Here is a 16,622-nt window from a genome sequence, read left to right as displayed (position 1 = left end):
TGAGCACCTCACATTGTGAAGTACTAGTGATTCAGTAAAATTCTAGACAGTCATAAATAAATATATGAGATCCCAGATAATAGAAAAACTGGTATCAAATCTTATAAATAATATAATACTACAAATTCACAAATTAATTTTATTTATAACAAGGATACTAGCAAAAGTTTCTTATGTTGGTCCTGTGGTTGGCTCAAGAATTATAGATGTAAATGGTGACTTGTAAGAGAGGAAGAAGAAGACAGAATAGCAAACTCTAAAATATGCTTGTTTATGGATATGTTAAGTATTTGAATTATGAATATACAAGGGTCATTTATCTTTGAGGGATATATTCCAAGACCCCAAGTGGATGCCTGAAATCATAGCAAGTACCAAAACCTATATATACTCTATTTTTTCTATATACACCTATGATAAAGTTTAATTCATAAATTAGGCACAGTAAGAGATTAAAAATAGCTAATAAATAGGACAATTGTAATAACATAGCATAATAAAAGTTATGTGAATATGGCCTCTCTTCCTCAAAATACCATATTGTACTATACTCACCCTTCTTCTTGTGATGGTGTGAGATAATAAAATGGCTATACGATTACATAAAATGAGGCAAAGGATGTTGGTATTGTGATGTAGCATTAGGCTACTATTGACCTTCTGATGGTATGTCAGAGGGAAGATCATCTGCTTTGGGTGATCCTGGATCATTGAGCCATGGCAGTATCAATGGCTGGATGTCAGGAGCAGATGATGATGATGACTAATGAGTGGGTTGCATAGATAGCATGGAGATGCTGGACAAAGGGATGATTCACCTTCTGGGCAAGAAGGAACAGGGCAGCGTGAGGTTTTATCACACTACTCAGAACAGTATACAATTTAAAACGGATGACTTGTTTATTTCTGAAACTTTCTGTTTAATATTTTTTAAACTCAGCTGATGACAGGTAACTGAAATTACAGAAAGCAAAACTGTGGATGAGAGAGGACTGTTGTATGCATGTTGATACCAGAGAAGAAATTTTGGAAATACACCTCCTGTTCGTGGTCTGCCTGATGGAGACCTCTATTGTAGTTATAGGAAAGAAATTTTACTCCAAATGCAAATTTTATTTAATAAAGTGTAACTTCCTGGTCTGCTGTATTGAGAAGGATTCTGAGGTTCGATCTAAGCTCAATGCATAGAGTGATATGATTAAAATGGTTGAAATGGGCCCAGGATGTAGTTATAGAAGCACTTGGTCACAAATTGTTCCTCCTTGTTCTATGTTGTGATGGAACTTATCTCCCGCCACCAAATCACTGAAATCCATGCTTTTATTTATTCAACAACAAAATTTTTGAATACTTAGATGTGCCTGGCACTGTGTTATACGCTGGAGATACAAAGATTAAAAAAGATATAGTCCTTGCATTTAAAGATGATTAGAAATAACAATGTTATTATATTTAAGAAAATAATACTATGTCTCTGCATGAACAGTATTGTGAAGTGCTATATTTTCTTCCTGTTTTTTCCTCATCAAATTCTACTGAATAAAATCTGCTTGGTTTAATTAGATACTAAAAGTAGGCTGAAAACTGTCATTCTCAACTCATTTGGAGTTCAAGATGAAAGGTCTTACAAAATTTATAAATCATAGCGAATTGTCATTCAACAGAGAACATTGTTATCTATGGATATGGGCTACACTGAACTAACAGTGGTATTTTGGCACATTTTCTAAACCTCCATGACAAAACAACAACAACAAAATATCATTGTGCTGTGACAGCTGTTAAGGATAAAGATGAAAAAATGATTCCAGAAAAGAGAAGTCCTATTAAAAGTGTATCTGTGCATATAGAACAATCTGTCCCTATATATATTTTCCTCTCCTTCTCTCTATTACCATTATCCCCAATCCCTGATCCAGGCATACTAGAGTTTATTTTTCATTGAGGATCATGGTTTTGTTCTCTCTGTACGTGGTGATTTGGCTCTGTTATGGGTTGACAATTGTGAAATAAAGAATCCCTCTATTTCCCCTTTTGTGGCTGTTTATTCCTTTCCCTATCTCCAATATATCAAATAGTTGGTACTTCATGCTCTTTCAACTTGCACACTATTTTTTCTCTTTATATACTATCTGGGCTGAAGTATTGATATTGTTTTGCTTCTGACCTTTAGAGGGGGAAACGTAATTATGCATTCTCCAAAGGCAGGTGAAAATATGTGAAGATTACATAACCTTCAGATATCTCTTGAAGTTTGGAGAATTGACTAGTACATTGACACTAGACAAATTTGCATAGCCTACTTCATGGGGCATATTTAGCTTTTCCTGCCTCATTGGACTTGAGACCCCTTTCTTCCTTCTCAACTCTCTAAATGTGCTTAAATTGATACATTGAAATGAGTAGGGAATGATGAATACTGTTTTTTATCTAATCTGCTCTCTAGTCCCAAGGACCTAGATAAAACTCGGACATCGACTATGTTTCTAGCATTGAAAAATAAGTACATCATTATGCCAGTAGTCCAGTTTGAATCCCCAAAGCTGGTAACTTCCACACTATACTTTGATCATCACGTTTTAATTTTTCCCCATGTCTTACTATGATTACACCCCATGCACTATCACTACCTCAAGAGATATGACAAAATTCTCATTCTCACTGGACTGCAAACTATTCAAGGGCAGAGACAGGGTCTCACTATTTCTTTGTGGCCTTAGTGTCACACCGTTAGCACAGAGCAGCTGCTCAAGAAATTTTGGGTGAATGAATGAAAACAATACAAATCTATTTTCATTTAAAATGTAAATAAGTGTAATAAGCACGATTTCTACAAACTCCCTCCCCCAAAACAAAGCAAAAAATCAGTTATACCAGTTTGTCACCAACTGTTGAGAACCGTTTTGAAGCTTGTGACTTTGTATGTGGCCATTAGATTCTATCTTCCACCCAATTTCTACCTTTCCTTTTCTCAGCTCCCCTGCCACACACCATTATGGCATATTATAAAGGCTGATAAGGAAAGAGGCTGGACCTTTCTTTATTCAAAAGACAGTTCTAATTCTAGACAAAAGATATGATCTCCTAGAAACATGGGTTTATTTAAGATGACTTCACTTGAGTTGATACCACATGGGTCTTCTTCATTCAATGAACCCTTAATCTTTTGTTGGGCATAGAGATTGGCTTCTATTTTTTTTTTATCACAAATGAAAAGATGCGATAGTATATGTTGGAACCCATGACTTGCCTTATAAATAGGCATGGCAGGTAATTAATTGCATGAATAATTCAGAAATGGCATAATTATGGCCAAGTCTATCCTTTTCTTTACCTCCTTTGCCTGCCACCCGTCATCTGATGCCACAATTTCTGCAAGAAATTTGTGCGTTATATTTCTCTGCTTTGGGACATCTTTTAAAATGTAGTTAATACAAATATGGGCAATTTCACTCTGAAATGTGTAACATATATAACATATACTCTCTATAATTCACACTATAGTATTAAAGACACCTGGTAAGAGGATTTAAAAGTAAGACACATTATATCTGAATTATTGGAATAAGAATAGGTTAATTTTGAGAGCATTGAGAGGTAGGAACAGGTGAAAAATGTGAGCTGAGGAATCCTGGAAAATGTATGCTTGTGTGTATTGCAAGTATATATGTATGTATGTATGTCATGTAGGATGTTAACTGAAGTGGCAAAAGCTACTAGACAATCAAGAGAATAAGTTCTGAAACAACCTTGGGCTGAAGCTGCCTTGGGCATGATTCTTAAAGAGGCATTGGGAGACTCCTGCCCTACATAATTATCAATGACCATCTGTAGTAGCATTGTGTTTTGGGAAGTGATACCATTGGGTATATTTTGAGGTGCAAATGTTTGCTTCATAGTTCAGGCTATTTCCTGAAATATCAATAATTTTAAAAATAATTATTCTAAATTATTTTAAATAATAAACAATTAAATATATTTGTATTATTTTCATTTATTCAACCAAAACTCTCTAAATATTATTCTCTTTGCTATCTGGACTGAAGTATTGTAGGGCCATTTTCTGGCCCTTTCTCTGTTGCCTTTCTCTCTTTTTGAACACTCACTCTGTTCTAACAGGGTAGCACTAGAAACAACAAGACCCTGTCTCTTCTGAATCAATCACCTTTCTTTTTTAAAAAAAATTAGATTCAAGGAGTACACGTGCAGGTTTGTTACATGGATATATTGACTAATTCTGGGCTTTAGGCCTCTATTGAACTCATTACCCAATACATTCTGTAGGTGTACTCACCCAGAAAACACATACCCAGTTATATATTCAGGGTACTAAACAATAGGCTATGTGAGAAGGACTCATGGACTTCCTGTAGTGAGCACAGGACCCAACAGGTTATTTATCAAACCTTGCCCCCATCTTTTAGAGTCTCCAGTGTCTATTGTTCCCATCTTTATGTCCATGTGGACTCATTGTTAAGCGTCCATTTATAAGCGAAGATGTGGTATTTTGTGCGTTTATTCACTTAGGATAATGGCCTCCAGCTGCATCCATGTTGCTGCAAAGGATGTGATTTCATTCTTTCTTATGGATGCATAGTTGGATCAATCACCTTTTATTTTCATCCCCCTATTTTATTTTCATATAGCACCATCTTTCAGAACTTCTTTGGTCTGTAAGGAAAGGCATTAACATTCAACAAGTACCTATTAAGTGACAGTACCTGTGTAGTGAATATTATTATTATTATACTTTAAGTTCTGGGATACATGTGCAAAACGTGCAGGTTTGTTACATAGGTATACATGTGCCATGGTGGTTTGCTGCACCCATCAACCCATCATCTACATTAGGTATTTCTCCTAATGCTATCCCTCCCCTAGCCCCCCAGCCCCCGACAGGCCCCAGTGTGTGATGTTCCCCTCCCTGTGTCCATGTGTTCTCACTGTTCAACTCCCACTTATGAGTGAGAACATGTGGTGTTTGGTTTTCTGTTCCTGTGTTAGTTTGCTGAGAATGATGGTTTCCAGCTTCATCCATGTCCCTGCAAAAGACATGAACTCATTCTTTTTTATGGCTGCATTCCATGGTATATATGTGCCACATTTTCTTTATCTAGTCTATCATTGATGGGCATTTGGGTTGGTTCCAAGTCTTTGCTGTTGTGAATAGTGCTGCAATAAACATATGTGTGCATGTGTCTTTATAGTAGAATGAGTTGTAATCCTTTGGGTATATACCCAGTAATAGGATTGCTGGGTCAAATTGGTATTTCTGATTCTAGATTCTTGAGGAATCACCACACTGTCTTCCACAATGGTTGAACTAATTTACACTCCCACCAACAGTGTAAAAACATTCTTATTTCTCCACATCCTCTCTAGCATCTGTGTTTCCTGACTTTTTAATGATCACCATTCTATCCAGTGTGAAATGGTATCTCATTGTGGTTTTAATTTGCATTTCTCTAATGACCAGCGACAATGAGCTTTTTTTCATATGTTTGTAGGCCACATAAATGTCTTTTTCTGAGAAGTGTCTGTTCATATCCTTCACCCACTTTTTGATGGGGTTATTTGTTGTTTTTCTTCTAAATTTGTGTAAGTTTCTTGTAGATTCTGGATATTAGCCCTTTGTCAGATGGATAGATTGCAAAAATTTTCTCCCATTCTGTAGGTTGTGTGTTCACGCTGATGATAGTTTCTTTTGCTGTGCAGAAACTCTTTAGTTTGATTAGATCTCATTTGTCAATTTTGGCTTTTGTTGGCATTGCTTTTGGTGTTTTAGTCATGAAGCCTTTGCCCATGCCTATGTCCTGAATGGTATTGCCTAGGTTTTCTTCTAGGATTTTTATGGTCTTAGGTATTACATTTAAGACTTTAATCCATCTTGAGTTAATTTTCGTATAAGGTATAAAGAAGGGGTCAAATTTCACTTTTCTGCATATGGCTAGCCAGTTTTCTCAACATCATTTATTAAATAGGGAATCCTTTCCCCATTGCTTGTTTTTGTCAGGTTTGTCAAAGATCAGATGGTTGTAGATGTGTGGCATTATTTCTGAGACCTCTGTTCTGTTCCATTGGTCCATATATCTGTTCTGGTACCAGTACCATGCTGTTTTGGTTACTGTAGCCTTGTAGTATAGTTTGAAGTCAGGTAGCGTGATGCCTCCAGCTTTGTTCTTTTTGTTTAGGATTGTCTTGGCTATATGGGCTCTTTTTTGGTTCCATATGAAATTTGAGTTAGTTTTTTTCTAATTCTGTGAAGAAAGTCAATGGTAGCTTGATGGGGATGGCATTGAATCTATAAATTACTTTGGGCAGTATGGCCATTTTCATGATATTGATTCTTCCTATCCATGAGCATGGAATGTTCTTCCATTTGTTTGTGTCCTCTCTTGTTTCCTTGAGCAGTGGTTTGTAGTTCTCTTTGAAGAGGTCCTTCACATCCTTTGTAAGTTGGATTCCTAGGTATTTTATTCTCTTAGCAGCAATTGTGAATTGGAGTTCACTCACGATTGGGCTCTCTGTTTGTCTGTTATTGGTGTATAGGCATGCTTGTTATTTTTGCACATTGATTTTGTATCCTGAGACTTTCCTGAAGTTGCTTATCAGCTTAAGGAGATTTTGGGCTGAGGCGATAGGGTTTTCTAAATATACAATCATGTCATCTACAAGCAGAGACAATTTGACTTCTTCTCTTCCTATTTGAATACCCTTTATTTCTTTCTCTTGCCTGATTGCCCTGGCCAGAACTTCTAATACTATGTTGAATAGGAGTGGTAAGAGAGGGCATCCTTGTCTTGTGCTGGTTTTCAAAGGGAATGCTTCCAGCTTTTGCCCATTCAGTATGATATTGCCTGTGGGTTTGTCGTAAATAGCTCTTATTTTGAGATACGTTCCATCAATACCTAGTTTATTGAGAGTTTTTAGCATGAAGGGCTGTTGAATTTTGTTGAAGGCCTTTTCTGCATCTATTAAGATAATCGTGTGCTTTTTGTCATTGGTTCCATTTATGTGATGGTTTATGTTTATTGATTTGCATATGTTGAACCAGCCTTACATCCCAGGGATAAAGCCGACTTGATTGTTGTGGATAAGCTTTTTGATGTGCTGCCGGATTTGGTTTGCCAGTATTTTATTGAGGATTTTCACATCGATGTTCATCAGGATACTGGCCTGAAATTTTCTTTTTCTGTTGTGTCACTGCCAGGTTTTGGTATTAGGATGATGCTGGTCTCATAAAATGAGTTACAGAGGATTCCCTCTATTTCCATAGTTTGGAAGAATTTCAGAAGGAATGGTACCAGCTCTTCTTTGTACCTCTGGTAGAATTTGGCTGTGAATCTATCTGGTCTTGGGCTTTTTTTGGTTGGTAGGCTATTAATTATTGCCTCAACTTCCGAACTTGTTATTGGTCTATTAAGGGACTTAACTTCTTCTTGGTTTAGTCTTGGGAGGTTGTATGTGTCCAGGAATTTATCCATTTCTTCTGGATTTTCTAGTTTATTTGTGTAGAGGTGTTTACAGTATTCTCTAACAATAGTTTGTATTTCTGTGGAATCGGTGGTGATATCCCCTCTATCATTTTTTATTGCATCTATTTAATTCTTCTTTCTTTTTTTCTTTATTAGTCTTGCTAGCGGTCTATCTATTTTGTTGATCTTTTCAAAAACCAGCTCCTGGATTCATTGATTTTTTAAAGGGTTTTTTTTTTTTTTATCTCTATCGCCTTCAGTTCTGCTCTGATCTTAGTTATTTCTTGTCTTCTGCTAGCTTTTGAATTTGTTTGCTCTTGCTTCTCTAGTTCGTTTAATTGTGATGTTAGGGTGCTGATTTTAGATCTTTCCTTCTTTCTCCTGTGGGCACTTGGTGCTATGAATTTCCCTCTAAACACTGCTTTAGCTGTGTCCCACAGATTTGGGTACATTTTCTCTTTGTTCTCATTGGTTTCAAAGAACTTCATTATTTCTGCCTTAATTTTGCTGTTTACCCAGTAGTCATTCAGGAGCAGGTTGTTCAGTTTTCATGTAGTTGTATGGTTTTGAGTGAGTTTCTTAATCCTGAGTTCTATTTTGATTGCACTGTGGTCTGAGAGATGGTTTGTTATGATTTCCATTCTTTTGCATTTGCTGAGGAGTGATTTACTTCCAATTATGTGGTCAATTTTAGAATAAGTGCAACGTAGTGCTGTGAAGAATGTATATTCTGTTGATTTGGGGTGGAGAGTTCTACAGATGTATTTTAGGTCCACTTGGTCCAGAGCTGAGTTCAAGTCCTGAATATCATTGTTAATTTTCTGTCTCATTGATCTGTTTAATATTGACAGTGGGGTGTTAGAGTCTCCCAAGATTATTGTGTGGGGGTCTAAGTCTCTTTGTAGGTCTCTAAGAACTTGCTTTATGAATCTTATGAATCTGGGTGCTCCTGTATTGGGTGCATATATATTTAGGATAGTGAGCTCTTCTTGTTGCATTGATCCCTTTACCAGTATGTAATGCCCTTCTTTGTCTCTTCTATTCTCTGTTTGTTGAAAGTCTGTTTTATCAGAGAGTAGGATTGCAACCCTTGCTTCTTTTTGCTTTCCATTTGCTTCATAAATCTTCCTCCATTCCTTTATTTTGAGCCTGTGTGTGCCTTTGCACGTGAGATGGGTCTCCTGAATATAGCACACTAATGGGTCTTGACTCTTTATCCAATTTGCCAGTCTGTGTCTTTAAATTGGGGCATTTAACTCATTTACATTGAAGGTTAATATTGTTATGTGTGAATTTGATCCTGTCATTTTGATGCTAGCTAGTTATTTTGCCCATTAGTTGATGTAGTGTCTTCATAATGTCAATGGTCTTTACAATTGGTATGTTTTTGCAGTAGCTGGTACTGGTTTTTCCTTTCCATATTTAGTGCTTCCTTCAGGAACTCTTGTAAGGCAGTCCTGGTGGTGACAAAACTTCTCAGCATTTGCTTGTCTGTAAAGGGTTTTATTTCTCCTTTTCTTATGAAGCTAAGTTTGGCTGGATATTAAATTCTGGGTTGAAAATTCTTTTCTTTAAGAATGTTGAATATTTGCTCCCACTCTCTTCTGGCTGTAGGGTTTCTGCAGAGAGATCCACTGTTAGTCTGATGGGCTTACCTTTGTGGGTAACCTGACCTTTTGCTCTGGCTGCCCCTAACATTTTTTCCTTCATTTTAACCTTGTTGAATCTGATGATTATGTGTCTTTGGGTTGCTCTCCTCGAGGAGTATCTTTGTGGTGTTCTCTGTATTTCCTGAATTTGCATGTTGGCCTTTCTTGCTAGGTTGGGGACTTCTCCTGGATAATAGCCTGAAAAGTGTTTTCCAACGTGGTTCCATTCTCCTGGTCACTTTCAGATACACCAATCAAACGTAGGTTGGTCTTTTCACATAGTCCCATATTTCTTGGAGGCTTTGTTCATTCCTCTTCATTCTTTTGTCTCTAATCTTGTCTTCATGCTTCATTACATTAAGTTGATCTTCAGTCTCTGATATCCTTTCTTCTGCTTGATCAGTTCAGCTATTGATACTTGTGTATGCTTCACAAAGTTCTTGTGCTGTGTTTTGCAGCTCCATCATGTCATTTATATTCTTCCCTAAAGCGGTTATTCTAGTTAGCAATTCCTCTAACTTTTTTGCAAGGTTCTTAGTTCCCTTGCATTGGGTTAGAACATGCTGCTTTAGCTCGGAGGAGTTTGTTATTACCCACCTTCTGAAGCCTACTTCTGTCAATTTGTCAAACTCATTCTCTGTCCAGTTTTGTTCCCTTGCTGGTGAGGAGTTGTGATCCTGTGGAGGAGAAGAGGCATTGTGGTATTTGTAATTTTCAGCCGTTTTGTGCTGGTTTTTCCTCATCTTTGTGGATTTATGTATCTTTGGTCTTTGATGTTGGCGACCTTCAGATGGGTTTTTGTGTGGGCATCCTTTTTGTTGATGTTAATGCTATTCTTTTCTGTTTGTTAGTTTTCCTTCTAACAGTGAAGCTCCTCTGCTGCAGGTCTGCTGGAGTTTGCTGGAGGTCCACTCCAGACCCTGTTTTCCTGGGTATCACCAGAGGAGGCTGCAGAATAGCAAAGATTGCTGCCTGTTTCTTCCTCTGGAAGCTTCGTCCCAGAGGGGCACCAGCCAGATGCCAGCCAGAGCTCTCTTCTATTAGGTGTCTGTCGACCCCTGCTGGGAGGTATCTCCCAGTCAGGAGGCACAGGGGTCAGGGGCCCACTTGAGGAGGCAGTCTGTCCCTTAGCAGAGATCGAGCCCTGTGCTGGGAGATTTGCTGCTCTCTTCAGAGCCAGCAGGCAGGAACATTTAAGTCTGCTGAAGCTGCGCCCGCAGCTGCCTCTTCTCCCAGGTGCTCTGTCCCAGGGAGATGGGCATTTTATCTATAAGCCCCTGACTGGGGCTGCTGCCTTTCTTTCAGAGATGCCCTGCCCAGAGAGTTGGAATCTAGAGAGGCAGTCTGGCTACAGTGTCTTTGCAGTGCTGTGGTGGGCTCCACCCAGTTCGAACTTCTCAACAGCTTTGTTTACACTGTGAGGGGAAAACCTTCTTCTGAGCCCTCAGTAATGGTGGACGTCCCTCCCCCCATCAACCTCAAGTGTCCCAGGTTGACTTCAGACTGCTGTGCTGTCAGCGAGAATTTCGAGCTAGTGGATCTTAGCTTGCTGGTCTTAATGTGTGTGGGATCCACTGAGCTAGACCACTTGGCTCCCTGGCTTCAGCACCCTTTCCAGGGGAGTAAATGGTTCTGTCTCACTGGCATTCCAGGCACCACTGGGGTATGAAAAAAACTCCTGCAGCTGAGCTGAGTGTCTGCCCAAACAGCGCCTAGTTTTCTGCTTGGAACCCAGGGCCCTGGTGGTGTGGTGGTGTAGGCACCTGAGGGAACCTCCTAATCTGTGGGTTGTGAAGACCATGGGAAAAGTGTAGTATCTGGGCCAGAATGCACCGTTCCTCTTGGGACAGTCCCTCATGGCTTCTCTCAGCTAGGGGAGGGAGTTCCCTAACCCCTTGTGCTTCACAGGTGAGGTGATGCCTCACCCTACTTCAGCTCATCCTCTGTGGGCTACACCCATTGTCTAACCAGTCCCTATGAGATGAGCAGGGTACCTCAGTTCAAAATGCAGAAATCACCTGCCTTCTGCGTTGATCTTGCTGGAAGCCACAGACCAGAGCTGTTTCTATTTGGCCATCTTGCCAGCCACCTCTTGTAGTGAACATTTCAAATGTCATCTGTTTCTTAAAAAACCCCGTGAAAAAGCTCCATCCCATTTTACAGAGAAGGAGACAAACTCAGGATCCTTCTTTACCCCAAAGCCATAGTGAGTGAGAGGCAGTACTGGGCCAGGCCTCTTGGACTCCCCTGTGACTATACAGAAAACAGAACATTATCTCATTTGTCCAAAATGTGTTTTTTTCAGGCTATGAGTTTTCAAATCTTATACATTTCAAAACACACACATACTATTTCTAACTATCAAAATGTTGTGTTCAACTTTCTCTCCCCTGTAACCATTCTATAGCTTTATGATTTTGTAGACTTTGGTCATCTTAACTATCAACTTTCTTCACTCTTGGTGAGGTGCTTCATGTGTGGATCACATTTTTTAGCCCTTTCTCTGTTGCCTTTCTCTGGGCCGTCTCTAACTCCACTACATTTTTCTTGAAATTTTGTCTGCTAGAATTGCAAAACAGGATACTGATGCACAGGATAATGAGTTTTGTTTTGTTTCCAGTGCCCAACCATGATGCCCAGAATACTGTTACTTTTTGGACTCAGCAGCAAATTTTTTTTGAGAACACAGAAGGTTACAGGTGATACTCAGCAGCCTCAGGTCCATCTCAAACCTCCGTGCTGCAGTATATATGTTTACAAGGGCATCTAGATGGGGAGCAGCTGGGGCCTTCTATATGACAGTCAAATGTGTTCATTCTCCTTCCCATCCCACTTCTCTAGCCCCAGCTCACACCACCCAGCCCCTCGCCCAGTGTCCTCCAGCTACATGTTGGCCTTGTTTCAGTTCCTCATAGATGCCAAGCTCCTTCCCATCATAGGATCTCTGGCCATGCTTGCCTTTTGCTGAGGCTGCCAACCATCATACAAACTCTTACTCATCCTTTAAATTCCAGATTAAATGCTGTCTTCACACCTTGTATTTATTCTTCACAGCATCTATCATGTCACATTTGCAAGCAAATAATGATTGGTATGCTGATTTGCTTAAGATCTATCATCCTGATGCATTATAAAAAACTCCATGAGGACAGAGATTCTCTTGTTCACCTATGTAGTTCCAGTGCCCAGCATAGAATTTGATATCCAGTTAGAGTTCAGTAAATGTTTGTTAAATGAGTGAATAAATTAAAGGAAGGAAATAATAAGCCTCTGGACATGGTTGTCCTCTTACCCTGGTTCCATTTCTTGCCCTAAGTAGTGAGTTTATAACCAGCCTCTTTCTCAAATGATGCAGACTTGGCATCAGCTCTGTCTTGGGCTTCCGGACTTCAGGGCTCTATAGCAAAAGCCAGTGAGTAGAATGAGGGTGGAAGCCAGGACAGAGTAGGAAATGAAGCCAGCTTCAGAGGCTCACCTTACAAGAGCAGTTGCCTTGTCTATTGCAGTATAATAGGCATGCCAAGATCAGGCATAGTTTGGACAGACAACAGCAATCAAAAAGAATCCAATTTGGCAAGCAGGGCACAGCAGTGGCAGTCCTTGCCATGAGAAGATGCTGGAAATTCAGATAAATGGCAGCATCATGGCACTGAGCCTTCTCTCTACTCACAGACATAGTCAAGTCAGAGATTTGGAGCTCTAAGAGTGGGATTCAGTCTTCAGGGTTGGCAGAAGCAAGGTAGGACCTCAGGCCAAAGCCAAGCAGGTGGGCTCAGGAAAGGGGAATGGAGCCCTGGGCAAAGCAACTAAGGCAGAAGCCCAGACTTTCACATTGATGAGCCCAACACAGGGGGTGAGGGAAAGCTGCTGACAGTGACAAGAATGCTAGAGCAACTCAAATGTTAAATGAGTGCAGGGACTCATCCCTGGCACCTGAAGCCCAAAGAGTGAATAGAAGTAAAGGTCGTACTTAAAAATGCGTAACCTTTGGGTTTGATTCCTGAAGATTCTACCTACTAGTTATGTATTCTGAGTACTAAAAAATAGGCTCTGTGAGAAGGACCCATGCACTTCCATTTCAAAGTAACTATTTTTAATTAAAATAATTTTTATTACTGTAAGAGCAGGTTTTATACAATTACAGATTCAGGGATACATGTGCAGGTTTGTTATGTGAGTATATTGCATAATGCTGGGGTTTGGACTTTTATGGAACCCATCACCCAAATATAGTGAACATAGTACCTAATATGTTGTTTGTCAACCCTTGTATCCCCATCCTTTCCTCTCCTTTCTTAGAGTCATGAATGTCTATTGTTTTCATCTTTATGTCTACATATTCCCTTGGTTTAGCTCCCACTTGTAAGTGAGAAAATGTGGTGCTTGATTTTCGGTTTCTGTGCTGATTCACTTTGGATAATGGCCTCCAGCTTCACCCACGTTGCTGCTATGGACATGATTTCATTCTTTTTAACAGCGGCTTAGTATTCCATGGTTGTGTATGTACCACATTTTCTTTATCTAACCTACTGTTGGTGAACACTTAGGTTGATTCAATAACTTTGGTATTTCGAACAGTTCTGCAATAAACATATGAGTGCAGGTATTTTTTTGTAAAAAGATCTGTAGATTGCTTATAAAAGCAGTTTTACATGCATTACAGAAAGTCAAAGAAAACATCAAAGTAAAATTTAACTAAATAAAGCAACATATTTTAATCACCACTGATAAAACCGTTCTTATATTTCCTTCCAGATATACAATTTTTTTACAATAATGAGATTTTGCTTTTACATGCTTTTTGCTACCTGCTTTTTTTCTGTTAAGATTTTCCATCTTTCCATTACAACAAATGTTAAATTTAGCTAATATTCATTCTAATTCAGATTGCCCCAATTGTCCCCCAACACTGTATTTACCACATTCTGTCCAAATCAGGGTCTAATCCAGGGCCAGACCTTGCATCTGGTAGCTATGTCCCTGAAGTCTCTTCTGATTAGCACACTCCCCTTTTCCTCTGACACTGACCTATTGCCCTCGAGAATATCTCACTTTCTGGATTTGTTTAGTTCCTTTCCAGTGATTTCATTTAGTTTATTTATCTTCTTTATTTCTTATGTGTAGGTTAGATTAAATATAAATCATTGGTGGTGGCTCCTGTTGGGTATTTTCAGCCAGAATACATACTAGCTAGGTATGCCGTATAAACTCTATTGCCTTACATCAGGAGAAACAACATCCGGTTGACCCATCATTAGTGATGCTGTGCTTGATTATGGGTCTAGGGTCTTGCTTCTTTTTAATAAGGTCTCAGGATGACACAATAGGAGCAGGACTCACATCAATGCGTTCCACTCATTGCTACCCCCTCCTCCACCTCCATCTCCTACCAGTTCTCATCCCCCTGAACAGACCTTCCAAGCAAGAAAGACAAAAGGGAATGAAGTGTGGTAAAAGGCCCAGCAATAAAACTGGAAAGTATGACTCTTTTGGCTCCTAGTCTGAAACTTCATTCTAAATTTACTATACTAGATATAAGCAGGCAGGGTGAATGTCCAAGAACTTCTCTCACACTAGATTCCAGTCTTCCCAGTTGTTGTCAAGGTCAAAATAGTATGGCTTTGGTATCTTACGCAGACACCAGAAGGCAGCCTACATAAGATACGAATGTTCTCCTAAACAAGTTTTGAAAAAGACATAAGCTGTTACAGAAAGCAGGCTCAACCATCTTGTAAACTGATCATGCCAAAATATGAACTTTGCTTTTTTTGATTCATTATGCAAAATTGAGAAAGAGGAGTCAAAACTATACTGTATGGAATTTAGCCTGGGAGATGGAGACCACCTAGATCCTGCTTTCTTTGTTTGCTTTGTTTGTTCCTTAACCAATGACAAGGTACAACGTTGGTCAAATATTTTCACCAGCCTAGTTTCAGTATTCTCAAGTGTAAAATGGGGTATATGATACAGTGTATGGTTGTTAAGAGGATTTAACTTCATCTGTGAAACACCTACATTATAGTAACTACCAGTTCCCTTCTCCTCTCATTGGCAGGGTCTGAGATTACTGACATGCTTCCTGCTATACCCGGCACTGATTCCAAATGGGACTGGGTCTGCAGGTGAAATTTACTAGTTTATATAGCTGAGGGAGCTGGAGAAAATTGGAGTAGAGGGCTGGAGGCAGAGGCTGACCACTGTTATTATATAAGCTAAAATGTGATTAGAAGTGCATGATACAAAAAGCTATGACATGTAACCTTTTAAGATAACCATGAACCTCGAATTTTGTTGTTTTTTAAAAATGTATTCGGAACATTAAAGGCAAACTCAGTCATTTAGGGCCCAGGAACAGGAAAAAGGTAGTCCGTATTGTATCTTGACATTTTATTCATTTTATTCTACCTCTCAGGTGCCAATCCTTGCACGTACATACTATTTTAAGAAAATCAGCAAGGGATGGCCATTTTATATTTTGGGCACTTCATTTAGCTTTTTAAATGGTAAGTGTGAAACCTGTATGTCCCTAATAATGCTTACCATCCTAATGAATGTGGGTCAGCATTGCTAGTTTTAAAGGTGTGTGTGTGGTGGTGGGGAATATCCTGAAAATGTTATGAGTAATCTTTATTTTTCTCATACATTTGACATTACTGGAGGCTAGTAGTTATATTGATTACAAATGGACTCTGGAGCACACAGACCTAAGTTTGAATTCCAGGTTCCCCACTTACTAGCAGTGTGACTTTAAACAAAGATTAGACCCAAAAGTTCACGTTGCCTCTGGGAACCTTGGATTCTCATTTTTAGAAGTGAACCGATTATTGTAACTACTGCAAGGCTTGTTGTGAATATTAAATGAGATAACATAAATGAAACATGGCACCTGGTGCATAGTAAGTGTTCAAAAGTTGGTTACTATTTTAATTATCGTTATTATTATTTTTCCCAAAGGAACACAATTTACAAATGTTCGCTTTCCCTGGAATCTTTACCCCAACTCTGACTCTCAATGATTTGCTACTGTTAGTCCGATTGATGAAAAATCAATGGGGAAACCAAGCATTGTAATCTCTGCCCATGAGGTCTATAGACGGAATTCTTTTCAATAGCTCTAATTAATGAGTTGGCAAGTCTGATAAAGCACCAGAGAATGGGGTGTTCATAGAAAGCATTAGTGTTTTTGTTTAACATATGTGACACTTGAAGCATTAGGATGCTGTTATTGTTCATTATGGCACGTGCCACCTCCCCATTCCCCAAAATTACCATAATTTGTACCTTCCAAATTGAATAGAGTCATTCATAGTTATCACATGGGAGTTTCTGTTAAAGCTAAAGGCCACACGTAGTGTGATTAAGGTGGGACTGCTGAATTCAAAATATATCTCTTTTCCCTAGGCTACACTGGCTATTCTGCATGTAATAAAAGGTATTTAATGCATATTAAGTTTTTCATGACTAATGTGTCTTCTGAAGTTTAAAGCAGGAACAGAAA

The 16,622-nt window shown here is 39.0% G+C and overlaps 1 protein-coding gene across 11 annotated transcripts in view; it reads left to right on the top strand.

The window, feature by feature from the left end:
- Positions 1-16,622, top strand: part of SLC44A5 (solute carrier family 44 member 5) — a 521,887-nt gene that overhangs the window by 310,415 nt on the left and 194,850 nt on the right. The window contains exon 3 of one of the 11 annotated variants that reach the window (NM_001320285.2): positions 15,180-15,246. The exons of the other annotated variants lie outside the window; for them this stretch is intronic. The gene's annotated coding sequence lies outside the window, so the exon portion shown is untranslated. The remainder of the gene's footprint in view (positions 1-15,179; positions 15,247-16,622) is intronic. 11 annotated transcript variants of the gene reach the window in all.

This window comes from Homo sapiens, chromosome 1 (assembly GCF_000001405.40).
Source record: "Homo sapiens chromosome 1, GRCh38.p14 Primary Assembly".
NCBI classification, from domain to species: Eukaryota; Metazoa; Chordata; class Mammalia; order Primates; family Hominidae; genus Homo; species Homo sapiens.
This window is presented reverse-complemented; position numbering and strand designations above follow the sequence as displayed.